Source organism: Homo sapiens, chromosome 13, assembly GCF_000001405.40.
Source record: "Homo sapiens chromosome 13, GRCh38.p14 Primary Assembly".
Taxonomy (NCBI): Eukaryota; Metazoa; Chordata; class Mammalia; order Primates; family Hominidae; genus Homo; species Homo sapiens.
In genome coordinates this window covers 45,680,945-45,701,498 of record NC_000013.11, presented here as the reverse complement: position 1 = coordinate 45,701,498, position 20,554 = coordinate 45,680,945, and the positions used below count along the sequence as shown (strand labels likewise).

General features: G+C 40.3%; 1 long non-coding RNA gene and 1 pseudogene across 1 annotated transcript, besides 1 other annotated feature; both read left to right on the top strand.

Annotated features, from left to right (window-relative positions):
- Positions 315–20,300, top strand: LINC01055 (long intergenic non-protein coding RNA 1055). The gene is made up of 4 exons (NR_125786.1): positions 315–472; positions 16,299–16,435; positions 19,080–19,197; positions 20,008–20,300. It is a non-coding gene; the product is annotated as a long intergenic non-protein coding RNA 1055 (long non-coding RNA).
- Positions 417–496: an enhancer, noted in NCBI's record as "active region_7681". NCBI's record gives its function as "activates an Ori minimal core promoter by ATAC-STARR-seq in GM12878 lymphoblastoid cells {active_cell/tissue: GM12878}" and the evidence as "EXISTENCE:reporter gene assay evidence [ECO:0000049][PMID:35858748]".
- AKR1B1P4 (aldo-keto reductase family 1 member B1 pseudogene 4) lies at positions 12,989–14,316 on the top strand (annotated as a pseudogene).
- Positions 20,301–20,554: the final 254 nt, after the last annotated feature.

Genomic DNA, 20,554 nt, shown 5'->3' with positions numbered 1-20,554 from the left:
AAGAAATAACTATGCATGCCCAAGGACTTTCCAGACCTCCCTTTTCCTTGCACAAATCACCTACTAATCTCAGAATCCACCCCCTGAACCTTTTCTAATAAAAGTACTGCCTTAATGCCAGCAGAAAGAGACAAATTTGAGCTTGACTCCTGTCTCCTTCAGAGGTGACTTTTAATATAAAGCTTTTCTTTTTTTCAAAAATTTGGTGTCAGTGTTGGCTTCTAGCACATTGGGCAGTGAGCCCCTTTTGCTTGTTAACAAACTAGAACCCCAGGTGAGACGAACAGCCTGTCCAAGGTACTGTTGCCCCTAGTGGTGTGCAGGCCCCCTGCACTGATCCTGAGTGGCCACCTAGACCAGGGTGTCCAGAGGCTCGACTATAGGGTTCCTTCTTCTCCACCATGGCACTTCAGGCTCCCTTGGCACTTCTCTTTTGGGAAAATAAATTGCTTCTGGATTAGACATCTTTCTGGTGAGTACCTTGTTAATATGCCCCTGTACTTTTAATTGTCTTTGAACTCATCATAACGACTGTGGGTTCAAGTCCCACCCTGTGGTTTAGGATTATGGATGAGAGTCCCAACCTTGTCTAGGATTGTGGATTTGAGTCCTACCCAAGGGGGATTCTGGTCAGTTCAGAGTCCCAAATCTGGTGTATGTTTAAGTCCCAAAGAATTAAGGCAATACTAAAAAGCTACAGCCACTAAGATAATCTAGTCTGGTTCTGATTTTTGTTGGTCTGTCTGTATTTTTGGTCTGTGTAGCAATATTTGGCTTAACAGAGGTCAAAGACTGTGATGGCTACAGCAGAAGCCTTATGAGATCTCCAGACTCCTGCACACTCAATTAGAACAAAGCAACTCCATAAACTAGAAAACCTGAAGAAAAATGGCACATGTAAAACATTTTCAGTCAATCCCTCTTTCTTCTTCTGTCCTTAAAGAGTTACCATGTAGTCTTCTAAGTTCTTTGCCTATTTTTCCTTCCTGACTACTCTGAATCTGCTGACTTTTCTGCTGGTGTTGAAATAAAACTTACTGTTCATGGTATTACTAGTTTCAGGTTACTGGCTAAAGAAAAAAAAGGAAAGAGGTCTTTTAAAATCAAAGTGCCCTGGAAACTGCTTTGCTCATCAGGGCAAATAAAATTTAGCCATGTGAACAGATTCCAGTTTTATCAGGAAAATAAGTTTGATCCAACTGTCTTGTTTATGCATATACATGCATTATGTTATATGTTGTGTCTATATGGTACCAAATTAGCTTATAAATAAAAGAGTACTGATAAATTAAATAAATAAGTCCAAATGCTTTCAAGTTCATTTGACTTTAATAATCTTTGGAAAATTAAAAAAAAATTATTGATAAAATAAAAATAGATATGTCTTCAGGATTGTCAGCATGTATTTTTGCCTGTGTTTACTGGTCAGCTGATATGTGCATCTGATAGTTATTTTAAGATGTCCAGGTTTGGCAAAAAGTTATGAAATTACAAACCCGGCCAAAACAGAATAATCTTTGTTTATGTGATTCTTTTGATAAATAAGACTAATTTAATATTGTTGGTTTAATGAAAACAATGAAATCCTCTGATTTATCAGCAAAATATCTGTGTATTTCACTTTAAAGTTCTTGCTTAGGTGAACACCTGATATTCACAAGCTGTAAAATGGTTAACAAGGAAATAACTTAAAATGGTGACTAGCTTTGTCTAATATCTCTATTCTCATAACTAATCTAGATAAACTGTTAAAAACAAATAAATTAGATAAATGTAAATGGGACAAATGTGTGTAAATGAAATTCTTATGTTTTTCAAAATCTTAAAGTTATGATACTTACTATCATACTTTACTTACTGAGCAGCTGGGTCACTTCCAATTAAGAAATGTATAAGGAAATGTTTCTAAAGATTAAAACATGGTTTTAAAATACATGAAATACTTATAATATTTTATCTTAAAATACTGATATATTGCAGACAATTCAAGATTTCTTACTTCCTAGGTTCTTCCCTAAAATCCCTAAAATAAGGATTACTAAGAGTTAATATTGTAACTTATATAAGTAATTGAAACTACTAGATACAAGAGAAACAATTCTATTTGCAGAATGTATACGAAAAATAGGATGTGTTTTTGGTAAACACACAAGAAGACAGGAATATGGTTTTCGTTTAAGGGCAAGTAATTTTGCCTAGTTTAGAGGTTCTAAAGGATTGTTTTAAATTGAAGGAATTAAAAAAGTGTAGATAAAACTAAATAAATATAGAAAGTTGAGAAAGAATGAAAATAAAACAAATTGTAAGAGGTTATAAAAGGTTTATGGAAATCTTACCTTGCAGTCAAAACAAATTGAGATTGAATAGATTTGTTTATAAGGTCTTATTAAAATTAGCTGTAATATTAAAAATGCGCTAATACAAAACTAAAAATTTTGGTTAAAGCAACAAAATTTTTTGAAGTATTGATTTGCTCTCAATGATATTGCAAGAAATATTGAGTTTAAATTCTAAAATTAAAACGTCAGATTTATATCTCAGAAGTTCAACTTTTCCTGCACCTTGTTACATATAAGTTGCAGATCACATTCATTATCTTCTGTTTTTTCCCCCTTGAAAAAAAAATATCTTTTTGCTTGGCTGGAATGATAACTGTCCTCTTCAACTTGTTCATCAACTCTTACAACTTTTTACCCCAGTCCTAATGCTGTTCTTATGGCATAATGCTAAAATATTTATCTTAAAAGTTTAGAAAAGCAATGTTTTCCTCAAATGTAATATAATTTTATACTCTTGGCCTTATGATATGTCTGAATTATTTCATATAACCAGGAAACCTCCCATGTAACTTTCTGTATTACTTTTGAGGTCTTTTGACTGTCATGCTAGTTAAATGAATAACTGTTATTTTTAAATGACCTGTAGCTCTGTTTTGATCAAATGTTTTGAATTTTTAACGTCTTTGGTAGGATTTATTTGGTAAAACTCTATGGGAGACACTATCAAATGCTAAATAATACTAGATCTTCTTTTGGTTATGTTTATGGGTATGCTATTGATATAAATGTTCTAAGAATTACATAAATTTATAAAAATCTCATATGCTATCAGTCATAATTTTGATATGTTAAATCTTTTTAAAAGTTATATTTGTACAGATATATAATTAATACAAATATTCTTAAGATTACATTATTATAAAAATCAGATGGTCTTGATGTGATGCTGTCAGTCATGGTTCTGGTTGTTATCTTAAAATGCTATATATAATAGAAATAACTTAATTTTCTTGACAATTGAGAACTTTTATCAGATTTTAACCATGGCTAAGTTTTTGTAATCCACAGTTATTGTTTTGAATTCTTCTCTAAAAAGCTTTCCAATCAGCTACAACCCAACTTACTTTTCATGGAAAGGACTCTGACAAGTACTCTTAAATACAGATTTCTGATAACTTTGGAGATAATGCCATCAGACTAGGAAAAGTCTTCCAGGACTCTGATTAAAAAGTTACATGAGAATTGCTAACCCAACATCAAACCGAACAAGAATTAGTTACATGGGACTGAACTGAGAGAGGACTAAAAAGATCTTTTATGACATTTTTATTTGAAACATTGATGATCTCTTTATGTTTTGTTTTCCTGTAAACATTTTCCTTTTGAACCATTTTAACTTACAACACATTAGATAAAATATAGTTTTGTGAACAAAAATTTGAGGCATTTACCTTTCTCTCTGATTTCTCCAGAATTTGGAAGCTGTTTGTGAGTATTCTCAATTTATGGCAATATATTATTTGTATTAGTTTTCAATAAAAATCTATTTCCTTTTGTAATAGAACACAATTGGAGACACTGGTTATTTCACTAAGGCTTTGACTGGAATGACACGTTTTTAGGTATGACCAGAATGGAAGTTAACTTTAAAGCACCAATAAAAAACCCCCTTAAAAAGACTGGCCTGGTAGCTTGTCTATAAGGTTCCTTTACAAAGTTTCTGTCCTTGCAGTAAGTAAAGAATGTCACTTTCTGACAGGTCCAGCAACCTATTTTGGGACCCTGAGAAGAGAGGAATAACACAACCATTCATGCAGGCATTACAGGCACAATCTGATGGCAAATCCTTGGCTTGACTGATCTCAAGGCTTTTAAAAGTCAGAAATTCCTTATTTTAAAAGGCCCAGCAAAGCCTATTTAAAAACGAAAGCCTATATGGTGAATCATTATTCCTGCTGTACTTTATGCAAATAATCAGTCCAGGTATAATAAGACTAGAACTTATTTTATATACAAATTGGTCCTACAATGATTCGTCTTTGGTAAAAATGGGGGACTGGAGAGAGAGAAATTATGTTCAAAAGAAAACTATATATAACACACCTGTCTCTGACCAGTAGGCCAAAGCCTTAACTTTCAGAATTTGTCAGGGACCCTATGTGCACCTCCTGGATATACTTTTTTTTTTCAATGTGTCAACCACCCACGGGCTTATGAATGTGCTGGCAACTGGTGCATGAGAGGTATTTGTCTATTAGGTTATGTAACTACTTCCTTTTCTATTTATATTGCAAGTGTTACTCAAGACAGGACTATTTTCCTTAAAATTATTTTCCTGGACTAGACAAACCCTACCTGCAAACCAAGGAGATGGATTTTGGCCTATGTTTGGCAGGACTCTCTTGCCATGGTGGGGAGTAGACAATCATGAACATATGATTAGAAATCTGTCAATCACTCTAGGTAACTTAGCAAATGAAGCAGTTGAAGCCACAGCCAACCAACAAAAATCTTTAGGCTCTTCAGCCAGGATCATAATGGATAACAGAATAACCTTAGACTACATATTGGCAGAGCAGGGAGAAGTTTGGATAGTAGCTAACATATCATGTTGTATTTACATGAATACATCTCCTGAAGTCGAAATACATGTAGAAAAATAAGATAGTAAGTTGACTGATTACAACACATTTCTAGAGAAGAACCAGGTGCCAACTGGTTCTTAGGTTTAGTTCCTGGATCTCACACTGAATCAAATATATGCTCCAGGGTTATACTAAAAATAGGGCTTTCTCTATTTCTAATACTTATTGCCGGATATCTGGTAATCAAATTCTGTCTCCAATGCTATGAGGTGGGCGGATCACGAGGTCAGGAGATCGAGACCATCCTGGCTAACACGGTGAAACCCCGTCTCTACTAAAAATACAAAAATTAGCCGGGTGTGGTGGCAGGTGCCTGTAGTCCCAGCTACTCGGGAGGCTGAGGCAGGAGAATGTCATGAATCCAGGAGGCGGAGCTTGCAGTGAGCCCAGATGGTGCCGCTGCACTCCAGCCTGGGCAACAGAAAAAAAAAAAAAAAGAGAAACCAACGTACTGGTAATACCAAATGTTAATATTAAACCAGATGTTAGAGAACATCTTCAACCTAATGCAAAACAATTTCATTTCTGAGGCCCAGACTTGTATCCCTAGTCAGCAGGAAGAAGTTAGAGTAGTTGTCACCCCTCATCCCTCACAATTGAGGAATTTACATAGAACAGGGGGAATTGAAACCATGCCCCAAAGAGTTAAAGAAATCAGTGGTTAAATTCTTGGACTTACAGGATAACAGACAAGAAAATAGCTTGCTGAAAAGCTGAAACTGAAGCTGTGCCCCACAAAATAAGAAACCAGTAACTAACAGAAATTCTTGAGTTTGCCAGATAACAGATAAGAAAAGAAACAAGCTGCTGAAACTCTCTCCACTTGTGAGATTAAGAAAAACCTGGCTGAAATTGGTTGGAACCAAGATGGCTAACTGGAGTTTGCACAGAATAAGCTTGCTGATGTCACAGCCCGAATTTCCACCACATGTTTTGTACTAACTCCCCCTGAATTTGCACATGCAACTCAGGAGTTAACATGAAGAAATAACTGTGCATGCCCAAGGACTTTCCAGACCTCCCCTTTCCTTGCACCAATCACCTACTAATCTCAGAATCCACCCCTTGAACTTTTTCTAATAAAAATACTGCCTTAATGACAGCACAGAGAGACTCCTTGACTCAAATGAAAAAAATCTTTGGTAATGTAATTAATCATCTTCTTGGTTTTACCATAAGTGGATTTTCTTCATTAAAAGCTGGGTGAGTATATTCGCATTGTTGTGCAACTCATCTCTAGAACGTTTTCATCTTGCAAAACTGGAACTCTATGCCCATTAAATACTAATTCCCCCTTTCCACTCCCCTCAGCCCTTGGCAACCACGCTTCTGCTTTCTGTTTCTATGATTTTGACTACTTCAGATATTGCGTATGAGTAGAATCAATATATTTGTCCTTTCGTGACTAGCTTATTTCATTTAGCATACTGGCATCAAGGTTCATCTACGTTTTAACCTATGACAGAACTGCCTTCTTATTAAAGGATGAATAATATTTTATTATATATATATACTACATTTTATTTATTCATTCATTGGTTGATTAATATTTGGGTTGTTTCCAGCTCTTGGCTATTGTAGGTAGTGCTACAATGAACATGGGTATGCAAATGATACCTTTGAGATCTTGCTTTGAATTCTTTTGGATATGTACCCAAAAGTGAGATAGATGGATCATTGTAATACTATTTTACATTTTCTGAGGCACCCCCACACTGTTTTCCAAATCAGCTGCATGATTTTACATTCCCTCCAACAGAAGGATTTCAATTTCTCTGCATGCTCAGCAATACTTGTTTTCTATTTTTCCAAAGGATTTTTTGGTCAAGCATGGTGGCTAACGCCTGTAATCCCAGCACTTTGTGAGGCCAAGGCAGGTGGATCACTTGAGGTCAGGAGTTTGAGACCAGGCTGGCCAGCATAGTGAAACCCCATCTCTAGTAAAAATACAAAATTAGCCAGGTGTGGTGGTACACACTTGTAATCCTAGCTATTCGGGAGGCTGATCCAGAAGAATCACTTCAACCTGGGAAGCAGAGTTTGCAGTGAGCCAAGATCATGCCACTGCCCTCCAGCCTAGGCAACAGAGTGAGACTCTGTGTCAAAAAAAAAAAAAAAAGGTTTTTATAAAAGTGGTTAAGTCCCATACTGCCTGAAAACAGAATTCCATTTTCCTTTACACGCACACCTCATAGAAGCACCTGCACATCCACTGAGTTATGGAAGAGGAGCTATGAACAGCACGAGGGAAATGTGGATGTCACCAAAGCAGGGAGGCCTAGAAGGAGCTGTACAAGTCTCTGCGCTTGCTGCCTGCTGGGGCTGAGCAAGGGAGACTTAACAGAGAGGGACGCAGCTATATTCATTTCCTAGGGCTTCTGTAACAAAGGACCATGAACTTTTTGACTTAAGCAACAGAAATGTATCATCTCACAGTTCTGGAAGCCAGAAATCCAAAACCAAGGTGCTGGCAGAGCCACGCTCCCTCTGACATCAGAGGGGAGGGTCCTTGCCTGCCTCTCTCCCAGCTTCTGGTGGTCATCAGCAATCCTATTCTCTGACTTGTGCTGCAGCACTTCAATCTCTGCCTCTCTTATTGAATAGTATTCTACCCTCGTGTGTCTGTATCTGGTATCCTCTTCTTATAAGGACACCAGTCATATTGGATTGAGGGCCACTAGACTGTAGTTGGACCTCATCTTAACTAGTTACATCTGAAATGATCCTATTTCCAAATTAGGTCTCCTGGTAGGACTTCAATACATCTTTTTGGGGAGACATAATTCAACCCATAATAGAAGCTAACATTCACTCAAAGCATAGTGAGTGCTGGTCCTGTGCTACTTTACATGGTTGTTTCACTTAAATCTGAGTTCCTGACATGTATGCAGGCCCCACCACTCCTGGGATATAGCCCCACCCTTGGGGTCCCTAAACCCATCACCCTGGCCTATCCCCAGCAGGTTCAGTTGAGCCACTTCCTCCCATAGGAGAGGTCTCCAGTGCACAAGCTCTACTCTGGAAGGATCCACATGAACAAAGAAATCTGCTAGTATCCTGGTATGCCTGCATTACTATTACATGTTATATCATTCATATTTATTATTATTTCTGCTATGTTATTTTGCCTACTCTTAGTCCCTCTGCCTCTCCACACTTTTGTTTGTCTGGTGGCTAGTTCCAGTGTAGTAAAAGCCCAACCCTGGCTCTGTTCTGAAGGCTCTATCTGAAGGAAGATACACCCCACCCCATTGAAGTCCCTCTGTGGTTTTCTAGCATGACTCCAAAGTTATATCCATGATATCAGGGGAAGCCTGTGGCACAGTCCGCTCCTAGGAAGGAAGTCTTGCTAGTAGATGACCATGAAAACTGGTCTGGACCCACAGTGCAAATTGTTTTTTTCCAATTGCATCACCAGTCGGTCCCACAGAGTCCTCCAGGAGGCCCTTCTCTTTGTGATCTCCCTTCCTCCTCCCTTCTGCCACAGTCCTTTGCCTTTTTCTCGCTAGAGACCTTGCTCCAGGTAGAGGGGCAGCCCAGATCCTTCTGGGTCTCACAGTGGAACATGGTCAGCACCACTGTATCTCTGGCTGATAGTGATGGCTCTCACAGCATGACAGAGACTCACCGTCTGATCTGATTAAAGACCCTTTCTACCCCATTCTGCAAGGAGAGTGCTAAAGGAGATAAAGAAGGCCCAGATGGACACACAAATTGTCCTGACACATTGGTGTAAAAAGAGCTCCTTTTACTGAACCCAAAGGAAGGGTACTGATAAGAAAAAAACGAGGCTGTGGAAAAACTATGCAGCCATAAAAAAGAATGAAATCATGTCCTTTGCAGGGACATGAAAGGAGCTTGAAGTTGTTATCCTCAGCAAACTAACACAGGAACAGAAAACCAAACATCACATGTTCTCACTTATAAGTGGAAGCTGAATGATGAGAACACATGGACACTGGCAGGGGAACAACACACACTGGGGCCTGTCGGGGTAGGGGGGAATTGGGGTAGGGAAAGCACCAGGAAGAATAGCTCATGGATGCTGGGCTTAATTCCTGGGTGATGGGTTTATCTGTGCAGCAAACCATGTAACAAATCTGCACATCCTACACATGTACTTCAGAACTTAAAATAAAAGTTGAAGAAAAAAAGAAGAATAAATGAGGCTACAGAGAGCAAGGTCATGGCCACTGTACATCAGCAGACCCATGTGCAAAGCTGGAAGCCAAGAAACAGTTACTTATTATATGTCTTCATCAGCTCAGCTGCTATATCAAAATGTCACAGACTGGATGGCTTAAACTACAGAAATGTATTTCTCACAGCTCTGGGGACTGGGAAGTCCAAGATCAAGATGCCAACACTCCCGGGCTTACTTCCTAACTTGCAGATGATGTCTTCTCACTGTGTCTCGCATGGTGGGGAGACAGAGTTCTGGTTACTCTTCCACTTCTTATAAGGACACTAATCCCATGATGAGGGCCCCTCACGACCTCATCTAAAACCTAATCACCTGCTAAAGACTCCACCTTCACATTTACCACATTGAGAGTTAGAGCTCAACATATAAATTTTAGAAAGACACAAACATTCAGTCCATAGTAGTTTATGACTTGAGCAAGTCACCCCACCTGTCAAAAGCTCAGTTCCCTCCTCTCCAAAGTAGAGAAATTATATCTAAGTTGACATAGCATTCTAAAGAAGCTGACAGTAATCTCTCAATAAATACTCATTGTTTTGACTCCCTCGTACAAAATTACCCTTTGACTTAAAATCTCTGGCAGCTGACACACAATTGGTGCTTCTGTTAAAAAGGCTTGAAACTACAGCTTCTGTAAGGGCTTGTTTGTTTGCTTGCTTGATTTATTTCCTTTTTGTTTTCAAAGGGAGGAGCATCTTAAACTGGGCCAATCTGGTCCAAACCTCAGCAGTTGCCCATTAGCTGGGTTTCTTCCTCCTCTGTAGGGCACGCATCTGTAACTCAGTACTGAGAAACTTCCCGGAGATCATGCCCAAAATGCCTGTTATTACTGAGATTAACACCATCATCAATCATCCACGTTCCATGAGCATCAGCAATTGGGCGCTACATAGAGCAGGGAGGTAGACATGCCTCACAGGTTTCTCATCTGAACAGACAGGTAGAGCAGAGACAAAGGAAAGGGCAAGCCTGCATCAAGACTCTCCAGGCTTCTCCCACCTGCAACTATCTGATGATGAATCACAAGCAGAAATTCAACAAGCAGGAGGGCCCATTCCAGAGTGCAGGGCTCCCTGCCCTTCCCTAGAAAAATCACAGAAACTGTAGCTTTTGGGACAGGAGTCAGAGGTGGATGTGGGCTCTATGTTCTGGCTCTTCTCTCATTCTCATTTGGGGAAAAGGGGATGGGAAGGTGGGTGGATGTAGCAAATCGTCAGGATGCCTCTCATCTCCAAATTGCAGGATACAATTGAAAACATAGGTCATTTTTGCTACCTAGGGCAGAGGGTAGCTCTACTCTGGAGCCAGAGGGGCAGCCCAAGTACAGCAAGGTCTTGGGCCAAGCTGCTCTTAGGACTGGCTGATAGCTCTTGCCTTCTGAGGAAGCAGGAGTCAGCAAAGGGCAAGAGAGGATGCTGGTGAGTCTATCAGGCAACAAGTAAAGACCAGCTGTTGGAAGAGTCTGAGAGTGGAAGGAAGCAGAAAAATAGAATGGCAGCTCTCAGGAGCGTGGCTAAGGTGAGTGGTTGTTAAAAGATAGAAGAGTCACTCACATTTGCAGGAATGTCAGAAGAAACAATGGAGGTGGAAGGTGTCAGAAAGTAGGGCAGTTAGCACTCCCAAGTTCCAGAGGTAATCACGAGAATAAATCTTGGTGAAGAATAAATCTCTTGGTGAACTCAGGAAAGACCTTATGAAACTTTTCCTCCTGAATCCAGGAGCTGCTGTAAATTGCCCTGAAGCTCTGACATTCTCCCAATATTAGGTAATTTGTTTACTTGATCCAAGAATGAGGCTCTATCAAAAGACAGCCAATGAAAAAGACATTCAGTCTCTAAAAAATGCTCTTTTATTTTGAAAAAAGACAAAAGAGGTGACTAAGGGGGTCTCTGCCCCCCTCCACTAGCCCCTCCACATCCCCCCATCCTGAGATGATAACTGGCCTTGGGTCCGCAGCAGGGCAGGAGCCATGGAAGTGAATTGGACACTTCCAAATTAAGAGGCAGGTTGGTCTCCACTTCATTTCGACCAATAGCAGCAAACTTGAATGCTTTGTTTATTAGGACAACTCTAATCATGATTTATGCACATCTGTACATTTCAATTTAACCAAAATTAAAAATTACCAGATTAGTTAAGTGTGTAATCCTGTAAATTAATTGTCAATTAGTTGCTCCCTAATGATAATGAAATGCTTACCAAATAGCATATGATCTCTGAATAGTGCCAAATAAATTGATTAAAACATTTCTTCAAGAACTAACAAGGGTCCCATTTGTTCAGTTTCCTTGATAAGTTATAGTATGGTCAGGACTTTGAAAAATGGGTCTGAGATTGGACTTGCGTTACGCTAAGGAAGGACAAACTTTCCAGGTGACCAGGTCAGAGGAATGCTCACCTCCACACCTGGACCCCATTGCAGAGGTAGCTGAAAAGACACAGAATCTAAGTCAAGGTTCCTATGCTGGAATCCTATTGCCAACCCCAGCTAGCTGTGTGACCTCTGCTAAGCCTCAGTTTCTTGGTGATTAAATGGACATGATAGTTTTTCCAATTTTAGGTTGTGGTGAGGACTAAATTAAATAAGACAGGGAATGAAGGACTTTAGAGCTGTGGCAGGCAGGCTTCACCCACAAGGTAGTCAATATATATTGATTGATTGAAAACTTTAGGTGAACTCTATCATTATTACTTTTTTTTTCTTTTTTGAGATGGAATCTCACTCTATTGCTCAGGCTGGAGTGCAGTGGCACGATCTCAGCTCACTGCAACCTCCGCTTGCCAGGTTTAAGAAATTCTCATGCCTCAGCCTCCCAAGTAGCTGGGACCACAGGCACGTGCCACCATGCCCAGATAATTTTTTGTATTTTAGTAGAGACGGGGTTTCCCCGTGTTGCTCAGGCTGGTCTATGAACTCCTGAGCTCAGGCAATCTATCCACCTCGGCCTCCCAACGTGCTAGGATTACAGGCGTGAGACACCGCGCCCGGCCTGAACTGTATCATTATTAATAAGCGCCTGAGCATTGTCTCTGAGCAAGGCACTATGCTTGGGGGTGGAGATAAAGAAGGAAAGAGAGGAAAAGGAAGTAGCAGAGGAGAGGAAAAGAAATCAGATATCATCCCTTGCACTCAAAAGGACTGTAATCTAATTAGACAGCAAAAGTTGGGGGAAACCGGTATCATGATAACAATAGCCAATATTTATTGAGTGCTTTTTCCTATGTGTCAGGCACTAGCATAAGCTCTTTATGCATTAAACTCCTCACAATCCTAAAAGAGAGTACTACTACTTTTAGCCCTATTTTACAGATAGAAACTGAGACACCAAGTTAAGTAACTTGCCTAAGGTCACTCATTAAGTGCCAGAGCTACGATGTGAGCCTCAATTCTGCACCCTTAATATTGCCTGTTGTATGGAGGGGAAGGGGGAATCAGAAGTTCTGGATCTGAATCATTCATACTATCTATGCAGCCCTAGGCAAATCACTTTACCCCTCAGACTCGGAGACTCCTCATCTGTAAAACGAGTTCACATTCTCCACAGCACAGTTTATGGTAATCATGAAATAAGTTGAGTGAGAGTACTTTGCATTATGGCTGGCATGTGCTGTGCATGTAATAAAGTTTAGATGCATTTGAATCTGCCTTGCCATTTATACCAGAGCTTCTGCCAGCTAAAAATGCCCCGAGCTCTCTGGGTAAAACCTGGACACTGAATGTGCTTCAGATCCTCTCTGCAATGGATTGACTCGGACTATTTCAAACACTGCATCAGGGAATTACATATGAGCAAAGGTAGTCTACAATCAGTGCTCTATAAAATCTTTTCATAATACATTTTACGGATGAAACATTTTGGGCATGGTTCCAGGCGGGGGTCTGGGAAGCTCAGCAGCCATGGCCAGCCACCTCAAGCTCAACAACACTGCCAAAATGCCCATCCTGAGGCTGGGCACCTGGAAGTCCCCTCCAGGCCAGGTCACCGAGGCTATGAAGATGGCGATTGGCATTGGGTACCACCACACTGACTGCACCTACACCAGAACAAGCATGAGGTGCAGGTGGCCCAGGAGAAGCTCAGGGAGCAGGTGGTGAAGCGTGAGGACCTCCTCATCGTCACAAGCTGTGGTGCACATACCATGAGAAGGGGCTGGTAAAAGGAGCCTCCCAGAAGATATTCAGCAACCTAAAGCTGGACTACATGGCCCTCTATCTTATTCACTGGCCAGCTGGCTTTAAGCCTGGGAAGGAATTTTTCCCATTGGATGAATCAGGCAACATGGTTCCCAGTGACACTGACATGTGGACACATGGGCAGCCATGGAAGAGCTGGCGAACGCTATTGGCATCTCCACCTTCAACCATCTGCAGGTCGAGAGGATCTTAAACAAGCCTGGCTCAAAGTGTAAGCTGGCAGTTAACCAGATTCAGTGTCACCCGTACCTAACTCAGGAGAAGTTTATCCAGTACTGCCAGTCCAAAGGTATCACAGTGACTGCCTGTAGCTGCCTTGGCTCTCCTGACAAGCCCCGGGCCAAGCCCAAGGACCCTTCCCTACTGGAAGATCCCAGGATCGAAGCAATCACAGCCAACCGGAATAAAACTACAGCCCAGATTCTGATCCGGTTCCCCATGCAGAGGAGCTTGGTGGTGATTCCCTAGTCTGTGACACCAAAACACATTGCTGGGAACTTCAAGGTCTTCAACTTTGAACTGGGCAGCCAGGATATGACTACCTTACTCAGCTACAGCAGGAACTGGAGGGTCTGTGCCTTTGTGAGCTGAGCCTTCCACAAGGATTACCTCTTCCATGAAGAGTTTTGAGGCTGTGGGCTTGCTTGTCCACAAGTGACCTACACCTGTTTTTCCCACCTCATTTTTTCTTGCAAATATATATGGCCTGTGTCACTCAGAGGTGGAACAGCAACCTGAAGACAGACCATTGAGGGCTTTCCTAGCTTGATGTTGCGTTTGGAGAGCAGTACCCACAGAGTACAAGTCTCTTCCAGTTTTCTTTGCCCTTATTGTTGCCCAGCTGGGGAAAGTACAACTTGAATACCCTTTTCTGACCAAGGAAAAGCAAAATGTACAAAGTCAAAATAGTGCCACTAATAGTTGAGTTTTGATGCTTGGAACTGTAATCCTTTCAGCAAGACTTCTCTTTACCTCAAATAAAAATGCTTTTGTAAAAAAAAAAAAAACAACATTTTGAGCACAGATTCCTACATATATATATATATATATATGTATTTTTTTTTTTTTTTTGAGATGGAGTCTTGCTCTGTCACCCAGGCTGGAGTGCAGTGGCGCGATCTCTGCTCACTGCAAGCTCCACCTCCTGGGTTCACACCATTCTCCTGCCTCAGCCTCCCAAGCAGCTGGGACTACAGGTACCCACCACCACGCCCAGCTAATTTTTTGTATTTTTTAGTAGAGACGGGGTTTCACTGTGTTAGCCAGGATGGTCTTGATCTCCTGACCTCGTGATCCGCCCGCCTCGGCCTCCCAAAGTGCTGGAATTACAGGCGTGAGCCACCGTGCCCAGCCGGTATATTTCTTAATTTAAAATTTTGATGCTTTTCCTATTAATATTATCATAGTTATACACGTTATAAAGCATACTCAAAAATGAAATTTTAACAGGATAAACAAAGATGAAATTTATCTTATTCATTAATAATACAAAAATCTTCTGCTTTCACAAAAATTAATTGTCAGTAGTAATATTTGTAATGAACACAGTGTAATTAACTGTGGTTATCTCTTAAAATCTTAATTTAACCCAGTGAACCAAAAGTCAGCTTCTAAGTTCAATTTCCCTGGATTTCTGGATGTAATGGCTGTCTGTTATCACTGAAAAGGGTACCTCACAGAGATCTGTAGATTTAAATGGAAAAGTACATTACTGACTGCAATTTCTAAGTCACAATACTCAATATACAGTCCCATCCTCAAACAATGCAAAGGCTTTTGCTAAAATTTCCACACTAAATTTCTATCTTTCCTCTTGTCAATGGTTATTCTTCAATACTCATTGATTGAGATGTTGAAGACATTCTGGAATTAGACAGTGGTGGTGGCTGCACAAATTTGTGAATAGACTAAAAACCACTAAGTTGTACAGTTTAAAAGGGGGGATATTTTTAATTTTTATTTTTATTTCAATAGTTTTTGGGGTATAGGTGGTGTTCGGTTACATGGATAAGTTCTTTAGTGGTGATTTCTTTGATTTTGGTGCACCCATCACCCGAGGAGTGAACCCAATATGCAGTCTTTTATCCCTCACTCTCCTCCCAGCCTTCCCCTGTGAGTTTCCAAAGTCCATTATATCATTCTTATGCCTTTGCAACCTCACTTATAAGTGAGAACATACAATATTTGGTTTTCCATTCCTGAGTTACTTCACTTAGAATAATGGCAGAATAATGGCCTCCAACTCCATCCAAGTTGCTACAAAAGACATTATTTCATTCCTTGGTATGGCTAAGTAGTATTCCATGGTGTATATATACCACATTTTCTTCATCCGCTTGGTTGATGGGCACTTAGGTTGGTTTCCTATCTTTGCAATTGCAAATTGTACTGCTATAAACATGTGTGCGCATGTGTCAAAAAGGGGGGGATTTTATGATATGCAAATTATATCTCTTTTTTAAATAATCATCAGAAGATTTTTGACAAATGGGTCAAAACCCAGTGAAACTGTTTTTTTAGAAGATTTTAAAACAGATTAGAAATTTATCTTTCCCACTTTCTTCACTATAAAGATATGAACGTTTTTATAGGTTAACTTCTTATATCATTTGGGCAATAAATGCATAGAATGATGGAAATGTTTCTAAGCATCCATTTTCAAAACATTCTTGTTATTAAATAAGTTTCTTCCAAAAACACCCTAACTCCCTCCCTCATCGGTAAAACACCATCTTTACTAGGAAGGAAAAAAAGTAATGTGCCTTATTTTTCTCTTCAAAGTGGCTCCTAAATAAGAGACTGTTAACAGCCACTTGGCACCATAAGAAAAGGTCAGCAAATTTAGAACACTTGTCTTTTTGTAAAAACAGATGACTGCAAACAAGAGGTCTTCATGATCATTATTTATCTTGGTGCAAAGTATTTCAAAGATCCTCTCATTTTATGTGGCTCTCTCACTGGTTTTGTTGTTGCAGTTGCTGTTGCTTGAGACAGGGTCTCACTCTGTCACCCAGGCTGGAGTGCAATGGCACAATCATGATTCACTGCAGCCTCGACTTACTGGACTCAAGTGATCTTCCCGCCGCAGCCCCCGAGGTAGCTGGGACTACAGGTGTGCACCACCACTTCCAGTTAATTTTTTTAAATTTATTTTATTTTATTTATTTATTTATTTATTGGTGAGGAATAATATATTTATTCAATGGAATGAGTAAAGTAAATCATATTTGATATCCTTTCAATCTTACCTGTTTTAAAGTATTTTTTGCATAATAACAGCATATCTATTGTGAATTTAAGTAGAGATGCGATCTTGCTGTGTTGCCCAGGCTAGTCTCAAACTGCTGAGCTCAAGCAATCCTCTGCCCTGGCCTCCCAAAGTGCTGGGATTACAGGCATGAGCCGTCATATCCAGCCAGCTCTCTCATTTTTCAGAATCAGATTAATTGCATCTGTGATCTCCTGTAGCTCATTCTGCACTTCTGACTTCAACTGCTCTGCAGCAATAGTTTGCTTGTGAGTTACTACCCAGCGAATCAATTTCCCAAGTGATGCTCTCCACATCCTATCCAGCATCCTCTTTTAATTCCAGTGGAAGCTACCACTCCATCAAATGTCATTTTAAACAATTGTTCCATGAGAACATTGTTTCTTGTAGAGAAGTTATTTACAATTGAGAACACATCTTTTCTGGCATATTTTCTGTAACTGGTTCACCAAAGAACAGCACTTGTTATGTTTTATTATCTAAGCAGAAGCTACATTTGTACTTCACCCAGCTGTAAAGCAAGCACTACTTGATTTGTTTCCATACTTGTTTCTTTAAAGTTTTCTCCGCATCTATCAGCAATATTTGCTGGCTAAAGGTATTTTCATTCAATCATTCAAAAAGGATATTTTGAATATTTTGTATGAGCTAGTCACTGTTAACAGGTGCTGAGGAAGTAATGAACAAAATTAAGTTTTCATGGAGCTATGTTCCTATGAGGGACAACAGACAATGAGCAAATTTTTTAAAAAATCTAATGTATATCAGGGGTAAGTGCTCCAAAGAAAAGTTCAACTGGTTCTTGGGACAGAGAGTGATAGGGTGAGCCATTTCAGATGACGAAGACCTGTCTAAGGAGGTGAGGTCTGAGCAAAGGCCTGAATATGTGGAGGGGCAAGCTGTAGATTATCTGTATCCAGCAGAGGGAGCAGCAGCAGGGGAAGGACCCCCCAGGCAGGAGTTGCCTGGGTGGGACTGACCCACGGGAAGCCAGTGTGTCTGGAAGCAGAGAGGGATGGGGAATTGGGAGGACCAGAGGACAGAAGGCAGCCTGGGAGAGGTCATGTAGGGCCTTGAGGGCTAGGGTGAGGATGATGGATTTCATCCTGAGCAAGACAGGAAGCCGGGGTGGGGGACTCAGCAGAGCACAACACAGTCTGACTTAGGTTTAAGATTTCTCCAGCCTACTGTGGAGAAAAGACTGCAACATGGCAGGACAGGAACAGGGGACCAATTTCAATTGTCCAGATGAGAGATGGACTGAAATGCTAGTGGTGAGAGAGGACATTGAAAGATTTGGACATATTTTGACATAGAACCCATGAAATTAGCTGACAGCTTTGGATACAGGATAAGAGAGAAAGAAGATAGGACACACATGGTTTTTGTTTTTGTTTTTTTTAATTATACTTTAAGTTTTAGGGTACATGTGCACAATGTGCAGGTTAGTTACATATGTGGTTTTTAACGTAAACACTTGAGGAAGGCAGGAGCCACTTGTGGAGGAGGAGACTGAGGGAAAGACAAGCAGCAATGATCAAGAGCTCAGTTTGGATGCATGAAGCTGCAGAAGACTAGAGATCCCGGGAAGGTGTCAAGAAACCAGTCGCTTGTAAGAGTCAGGCATTACAGGGGAGGCGTTTGGAATGGAAATACAATTTAGGACTTGTCAGTATATTAAAAGCCTCGTCAGTATATTTCTTCATGCATTATTTCAGCTGTATTTATTGCAGTAGGAAGAACAAGTATTTCCCATGGTCATATGCACCTTTTTTTCTTCACTACTAAGAAACCTCAAAAGAGGCATTTAAGCACTTTCCATTACACTAATTAACATTTTGAGAGATACTGCACTGAATAGTACATGATTTTAGGTCAGTTAAAAAAGATTGCAGACATTTTTATTGTCTTTTTCAAAGCATAATGGCTTCAACTCTTGCTAGCCAGTATATCAAGATGTAACACAGTTAGGTGAGGGGTGTCATTAATGATTATGGCTGTAATTTGTGTTTATACATCTACTGAGCAACTTCACTGAAAAGGAGATAGTTCTGAAAGCAAAACTGTCACTGCGGCCTTTTCTCTTGTTTACTCATGCTTGCCTTATCATTACATTCAACCCACCCTCTCTTTGCTGACATCGTCTTAAACCATGTGTCCATTTTGCAGTGACTTGCTGAGTTAAGACCAGACAACATCATCCATAAATCCACTTTGCCTGACACGTATAAACTGCCATCCATCATTGCAATGTGCAACAAGGGAAAGGTGGCACCCTCAACCTCTTGTGGAATGTTGTTTTTCTCAGGACACTCCCCTTCCCTAACAAGAAATGGGACCACTATTCACTCCACATGAAGGTGCCAGTGCCTGTCCATGCATTATACTTTAGCAGACTTTAGAGCTTAGTGTCTTTCTAACTTTTTAGGGAAAATAAACAGAACTTACAATATTTCCTTTTTTTCTTTTTTTTTTTTTTTGGAAACAGGGTCTTACTCTGTCACCCAGGCTGGAGTGCAGTGGCATAATCTTGGCTCACTGCAGCCCCAACATCCCCGGCTCAAGCAATCCTCCCGCCTCAGCCTCCTAAGTAGCTGGGACCACAGGTATGCACCACCATGCCTGGCTAATTTTTGCACTTTTTGTAGAGATGATACAATATTTTCTTCCACATATCAGTGAATCACCTTGTGCATCCTTTGGAGCCCACATTCAGGGCTCACCCTCTGATCTAGTCCTTTTCACTGTCAAAGAAGGTGACAAATAAAGCTGCTACCATGTCAGAATGAGGATTGGCCCCAGCTCCTGGGCAAACAGAATTCCTAGAAGAATGAAAGATCAAGTTGAGTTCCTACGCTTGAAAAAGAAAACATTAAAAAGCAATTGTCTCTTGTTAAACTTTAAAGGCTTTCCTATAGACTATTAACCAATGAAAACTGTGCTAATTTTCTTTCCTGGGGCAATTGCTATTAAGTTGTTTTTGTAGGCTGGTCAAAACCTAACTGAGAAAAAGTTTATTTTTACCTGTCTTTGTGGCCTTCTTAGTAAAATTGGCTATTCAAAGTGGATTAGGAACCTGAACTTCTTTCCTTAGGAAAGTTTCACACCAAATGTAAAAAAGAGAGAATGATTTAGAAATTAAGTTTTATTTTTTATTTAATACTCTATCTGAAACTGAAAACTTTGAGTTTTACTTAGCAACAAAATAGGCAACATTCCCTCTTCAGAAACACTAAGTCAACATAAGGTAAAAGACCTTCATTTCTCAGTAAAACTGAGATTTGAGGTGGCGGCAGGAATGTGAATGACCCTCGTAAATTTTCTAGCTCCAAATTACTTGGCTGCTAATCAACATAGGCAGGTCCCTAAATATAGGACCATATTTCTAAAACATCCCTTTCTCTTATTATTCACAGAAACCCAAACTGCAGAACATGTTCAGTGAAGCAACCAGAGCTAAATCATTTGAAATGCATTAGCCAGTACTCGCCGCAAATTAATTTAACACCAGTCACATGTGTCTGGGTGATTTTCCCCTGAAAGGTGGCGTGAGTTGATTGGACCCCAGGAGGAACGCTGCGCTGAATGGCTCAAGATTTACTACTAACCACACACTGCACAGAGAAGGCTGCGTGTTACCAAGGCCTCCATGGAATTAGGGGGAACTGCCAACAAACCAGTGCAGAGCCTGCAAATGTCAGATAGAAGGAGGATGAGACATGATTTGGATATTTTTCCAAGAAGGAAAGACTCAGTTCATTTAGAAGAGTTTCCTTAAGGATAAAGGAAGTATCCAGAACCTACTCTAAGAAAGGGAAATGGCTTCATGCTTTCCTCTCCCATTCCCATACCTGCAGGAAAATCAGATTTCCTCATGGTCCTGTCGTTTTCTCAGGCCTGAGAGGAGGGACACTTCACCACCGCCCCCCTCCCCACCCCCGCCCCAATCTCAGTGGGTTTAGC